General features: G+C 48.6%; 1 protein-coding gene across 4 annotated transcripts in view, besides 1 other annotated feature; it reads left to right on the plus strand.

Annotated features, from left to right (window-relative positions):
- The window catches only part of DPRX (divergent-paired related homeobox), a 35,901-nt gene extending 31,415 nt beyond the window's left edge, over positions 1 to 4,486 (plus strand). For all 4 annotated transcript variants that reach the window (XM_047438893.1, XM_011527011.4, XM_011527012.3 and 1 more), the window contains 2 exons: positions 2,003 to 2,157; positions 4,068 to 4,486. In XM_047438893.1, coding sequence (XP_047294849.1) covers positions 2,003 to 2,157; positions 4,068 to 4,460 — 548 coding nt within the window. In that variant the 3' untranslated portion in view covers positions 4,461 to 4,486. The remainder of the gene's footprint in view (positions 1 to 2,002; positions 2,158 to 4,067) is intronic.
- Positions 4,446 to 4,946: an enhancer, noted in NCBI's record as "H3K4me1 hESC enhancer chr19:54140228-54140728 (GRCh37/hg19 assembly coordinates)". NCBI's record gives its function as "activates a minimal SCP1, AML or CMV promoter by ChIP-STARR-seq in naive H9 embryonic stem cells {active_cell/tissue: H9 hESC(naive)}" and the evidence as "EXISTENCE:reporter gene assay evidence [ECO:0000049][PMID:30033119]".

A 6,000-nucleotide genomic window follows, 5' to 3' on the forward strand; every position in this document is an offset into this window, starting at 1 on the left:
TCGAACTCCTGACCTTGTGATCCGTCTGGCTCAGCCTCCCAAAGTGCTGGGGTGACAGGCGTGAGCCACTGCACCCGGCCCAAGTTTTGTATCTTTATAGAGATGGGGTTTCACCATGTTAGCTAGGTTGGTCTCAAGCCCCTGACCTCATGTGATTGGCTGGCCTCGGCCTCCCAAAGTGCTGGGATTACAGGCATGAGCCTCGGTGCCCGGCCGCGGCTGTCATCTGACAGCACAGGCAAATGCAGGGAAGCCTGTTTCTGCCTTCAAATCCGAAATCTTCTCCCTCGTAGTTGTGTCCTAATTCTTCCCACCCCGATGCTTGTTCTTGAGCACAGGGGAATCTGATTCCTATGAGGATGATTAGGTCCTAGATAGAATATAGGCTTAGCCAAGCTGGAAATCTCATGTTCATGAGCACTTACTAGACTCTGGAGCTGCTGCCAAACCATTTTCAGGCATGATGCGATTCAGATCTTTTAGAGCGAGGCATGCGGTGGCTCATGCCTGTAATCCCAGCACTTTGGGAGGCCGAGGTGGGCAGATCGCTTCAGCCCAGGAGTTCAAGACCAGCCTGGGCAACAAAACAAGACGTTGTCTCTACAAAAAATACAAAAATTAGCCGGGCATGTCAGTGTTGTGTAGTTCCAGCTACTCGGGAGGCTGAGGTGAGAGGATCGCTTGAGCCTGGGGAGGTTGAGGCTGAAGTGAGCTGTGATCATGCCACTGGGCAACACAGCAGTACACTGTCTCAAGAAAAAGAAAGTAAAAGGTGACATCCGTGACAGCAGTGATGTTATTTTTCTGCTTATTTCCTTGCTATATTCCTAAAAGAATATACTTAATGAACATTGAATAAATGATAAGAATAAAACCATGTCCATCCATTTCACCTTGGATTGAGTTGCCTATTTCTACACAAAGAAAATAGAACCCAAGAGGTAAGGCACAAGCGATCCCTTATTTACGTATTTATTTATTTATTTATTTATTATTTTCTTGAGACAGGGTCTCCCTCTGTCTCAGGCTGGAGTGCAGTGGCATAATCTCGGCTCACCACAGCCTCTGCCTCTGAGGTTCAAGCGATTCTCCTGCCTCAGCCTCCCGAGTAGCTGGGACTACAGGCGTGCACCATCACGCCCAGCTAATTTTTGTACTTTTAGTAGAGACAGGGTTTCACCATGTTAGCCAGAATGGTCTTGATCTCTTGACCTCATGATCCGCCCGCCTTGGCCTCCCAAAGTGCTGGGATTACAGGCATGAGCCACTGTGCCCGGCCAAATTTTTGTGTTTTTAATAGAGATGGGGTTTCACCATGCTGGCCAGGCTGGTCTCAAACTCATGACCTGATATGATCTGCCCGCCCTGGCCTCCCAAAGTGCTGGGATTACAGGCGTGAGCAAGGGATCCCATATTTAAATGATAACAGAAAAAAAGGATGGAGGAACCAAGGGGGAAAGGAACAACCTTTTCCTATGAAAATGACAAATGAGGCTTGGAAAAACAAGGACAAAAGGCAGATCAAGTTGTCCTCCCGCTTCAGCCTCCCACAGTACTGGGACTGCAGCCTGAGGCACGACCCCGGCCAGCAGTGTCTCCATATCTAAGAACCTCAGTCACGGCCGGGCACAGTGGCTCACGCATGTAATCCCAACACTTTGGGAGGCCGAGGCGGGTGGATCACCTGAGGTCAGGAGTTCGAGACCAGCCTAGCCAACATGGTGAAACCCTGTCTCTGCTAGAAATACAAAAATTATCCGGGCATGGTGGCGTGCGCCTGTAATCCCAGCTACTCGGGAGGCTGAGGCAGGAGAATCGCTTGAACTCAGGAGGTGGAGGTTGCAGTGAGCTGAGATTGTGCCACTGCACTCCAGCCTCGGTGACAGAACCTCAGTCACTTGATCATCACGTTGTACCTCAGTGGAAAGGAAAGGAAAGCTCAGGCTTTTGAGAATGGAGTTGTTAGCATTTCCCATTTGTGTCTTTTTCCTCCTCTTTCAAGGCAAGGACCAGATGCATTCACACAGGAAACGAACCATGTTCACTAAGAAGCAACTGGAAGATCTGAACATCTTGTTCAATGAGAACCCATACCCAAACCCCAGCCTTCAGAAAGAAATGGCCTCGAAAATAGACATACACCCAACAGTACTGCAGGTTGGAAAATGATCCCTCTTCTCACTAAACTGCCTTCCTGATCTAATCTAAATTCAGAGTCCCTCTAGGATAATTCCTGAGGTCTCATTCCAATCGCCAATATTCCCCAAACCCACACTCTCCTACTCACGTCCCCGTAAACCTTTCTTCAACCCCCTAGAGCAAGAATGGGAAAATTTTTCCAGTAAAGGACCAGGTAGTAAATAATTGAAGCTTTGTGGGCCATACCGTCTCTCTAGCAACTATTTTAACTATGCCACCACAGTGCGAAGGCAGCCACAGACAACGTAAACAAGAGGCCCATCTGTGTTCCCAGAAACTCTTTTACTCAGGTTGGAGCACGGTGGTGCAATCACAGCTCACTGCAGCCTCGACCTCCCGGGCTCAAGCAATCCTACCACCTCAGCACCCCAAGTAGCTGGGACTACAGGTCTACAGGTGCACACTACGCCTCCCAAAGTGTTGGGATTACAAGCATGAGCCCGGCTGTATTTTATTTTTTGTAGAGATGGGGTTTCGCTATATTGCCCAGGAGGCTGATCTTGAACTCCTGGTCTCAAGTGATTCACCTGCCTTGGCCTCCCAAAGTGTCAGGATTATAGGCATAAGCCACTGCGCCTGGCCTGAAGTTTATACAATTTTCACATTACAAAATAGTGTTGTTTTGTTTTGTTTTAAGACAGGGTGTTGCTCTTGCCCACATTGGAGTGCAGTGGCACGATCATAGCTCACTGCAGCTTTGAATTCCTGGGCTGAAGCCATCCTCCCACTCAGATTCCCAAGTAGGTGGGACTACAGGTGTGTGGTACTACAGCCTCCCGAGCAGCTGATACTACTGGTGTGTACCACCAGGCCCAGCCAATTTGTGTGTTTTTTGTAGAGATGGGGTTTCGTCATGTTGCCCAGGCTGGACTCAAACTCCTGAAATCAAGTGATCCACCCACCTCAGCCTCCCAGAGTCCTGGGATTATAGGCATGAGCCACTGTGCCTGGCCAGTAGTATTCTTTTATTTTCTCTCTTTTTTCTTTCAGTCCCAACACACATACAACACAAAATAGTACTCTTATTGTGTTTGTTTTTTCTCAACCATTTTAAAACGTAAAGCCTATTCTTAGTGCATGGGTGATACAAAGACAGGGGGTGGTCAGATTTGGCCACCAGCCTTAGCTGGCTGGCCTGAGCCCCAGAGCAGCCCCTGCGACTGATCCCCTTGCTCTCCTATCCCCTGCTCTGGGTTTTCTGACCCCTGTCTCAATTTCTGTCCCCAAAATCTCTCATTTCTGCTCCTTCCTGGGAGTAGATTGAGTAGGGTTCCACAAAGAGGATGTAAGTGGCCAAGCTGTGGCACTAGCTGTTCTCACCTAGAAGTACTCATATTATCAACTAAAAGGAAAACTTGGGTTGGGTATGGTGGCTCATGCCTGTAATCCCAGCAGTTTGGGAGGCCGAGGTGGGCGGATCATGAGGTCAGGAGTTCGAGACCAGCCTGGCCAATATGGTGAAACCCTGTCTGTACTAAAAATACAAAAATTAGCCAGGCATAGTGGTGTGAGCCTGTAGTCCCCGCTACTCAGGAGGCTGAGGCAGAAGCATCGCTTGAACCTGGGAGGCGGAGGTTGCAGTGAGCCGAGATGGTGCCACTGAACTCCAGCCTGGGCGACAAGGTGAGACTCCATCTCAAAAATAAAATAAAATAAAATAAAAATAAATAAATAAATAAATATTAGGAGAGTTTAAGGGCCAAAAAAAGGAAAAAAAAAGAAAAGTTAAAAACTTAAAGGTTAAAAAAAAGAATATAAATAAATAAAATACGTTTAACAAAATAAAAATTAAAAAGTAAAAATTTTTTAAAAATAGAATGACAAGTCATCTGAATTCCACCCCATTCTCTTCTCTCTCTTCCCTTCAGGTCTGGTTCAAGAATCACAGAGCAAAACTCAAGAAAGCGAAATGCAAGCATATTCATCAAAAACAAGAAACTCCACAACCGCCAATACCAGAGGGTGGGGTCTCCACCAGTGTCGGCCTGAGAAATGCAGACACACTACCCAGATTGCCCAACGCTGCTCACCCGATCGGCCTGGTGTACACGGGTCATCGAGTCCCCTCATTCCAGCTCATCCTGTACCCCAACCTCAAGGTCCCTGCAAATGACTTCATTGGCCACAGAATAGTCCATTTTGGCTGCTGCCGAGATCCTAATATATACTGCCTCTACCCCATTTTGGAATCCCAAGTTTGCGCTCCAAGCTTCCATTCTGGCTCTCCTGCCTGTTCATCTAACCAAAGTCGAGAGAGATGATAAATACAAAAAGTCACATGTTGTAATGATGTGTGTGTGGTACTGTGACATTTGCGTTTGGTCTTCGTGCCTGTTTCCTGGAAAGCAGCTCCAGAGTTCCATGGAGTCTCCAAAGTGCCATCTTTTTGTATTTTGTGTGCTAATGTTGACCGATAGCTTCAGGATGGGGACTGGTCTCTGGAAAGACCCCAGTAGGATTAGAGGGCAAACTTCTGGGAGGGGAAGGAAGCTGAGGGTGAGGCTGATCACCATTGGCCAGTGGTTTCATCAGTCATGTCTGGGTAAGGAAGCATCCATCAAAACCCAGGAGGACAGGGTTTGAAGAGATCCCTGACAGCTAAGCATGCGGACGTACCTGGAGGGTGGCATATCCGGGGAGGGCATGGAAGCTCCGGGCCCCTCGTCATACGCCTCATCCTAGCAGGGTGCGGTGGCTCATGCCTCTAATCCCAGCACGTTGGGAGGCCAAGGCAGGCGGATCACCTGAGGTCAGGAGTTTGGGACCAGCCTGGCCAGCATGGCGAAGCCCATCTCTACTAAAAGTACAAAAATTAGCCGGGCGTGGTGGCTTGTGCCTGTAATCCCAGCTACTCGGGAGGCTGAGGCAGGAGGATGGCGTGAACCCGGGAGGCAGAGGTTGCAGTGAGCTGAGGGGATTGTGCCACTGCATTCCAGCCTGGGTGACAGAGCAAGAATCTGTCTCAAAAAAAAGAAACAAGAAAGCACAGAGGACCAGCTGGAATATTTGGAAGACCAGAAAATGTCCTTAAAACTCAAAATGCCTGGGCATATAGGTCAGGTCCACCTAGCCTTTTGAATCAATGCGAACCCTTCCTCAAGGCCTGGAGGTTGGCAACACAAAATCACCCTGTGGAGAACCTAAAGCATTCCCTCTCTGAGAGTTGAGTCAATTGGGATTCCACCCCCAAAATTCCTAAAAATCTCAAGTTCCTAGAAAATTCTCAGAAAAAGCAAGCTCTCCTATACCTCCCTGGCTGTACTCTGATGCAACTTGGCAACCATCAGAGAATCTCCATCCCCTTGAACCTTGGTCCTCTGCCAATGTTCCTCACGCCTGTAATCCCAGCACTTTGGGAGGCTGAGGCGGGCGGATGGCTTGAGCCCAGGAGTTCGAGACCAGCCTGGCCAGCATGGTAAAACCTCATCTCTACCAAAAACATCAAAATTAGCCAGTCTCATATACTGGTCTCAAAATAAATAAATAGATTAAAATTTAAACATAAAATAAACATGAGTGTGTTAGAAAGAACCTACTGGCCCGGCGTGGTGGCTCACACCTGTAATCCCAGCACTTTGGGAGGCAGAGGCAGGCGGATCATCTGAGGTTGGGAGTTCGAGACCAGCCCGACCAACATGGAGAAACCCCGTCTTTACTAAAAATACAAAATTAGCCAGGCATGGTGGCGCATGCCTGTAATCCCAGCTACTGGGGAGGCTGAGGCAGGAGAATTGCTTGAACCCGGGAAGGGGAGGTTGCCATGAGCCGAGATTGCGCCATTGCACTCCAAGCCTCCTGGGC

Source organism: Homo sapiens, chromosome 19 (assembly GCF_000001405.40).
Source record: "Homo sapiens chromosome 19, GRCh38.p14 Primary Assembly".
NCBI lineage: Eukaryota > Metazoa > Chordata > Mammalia > Primates > Hominidae > Homo > Homo sapiens.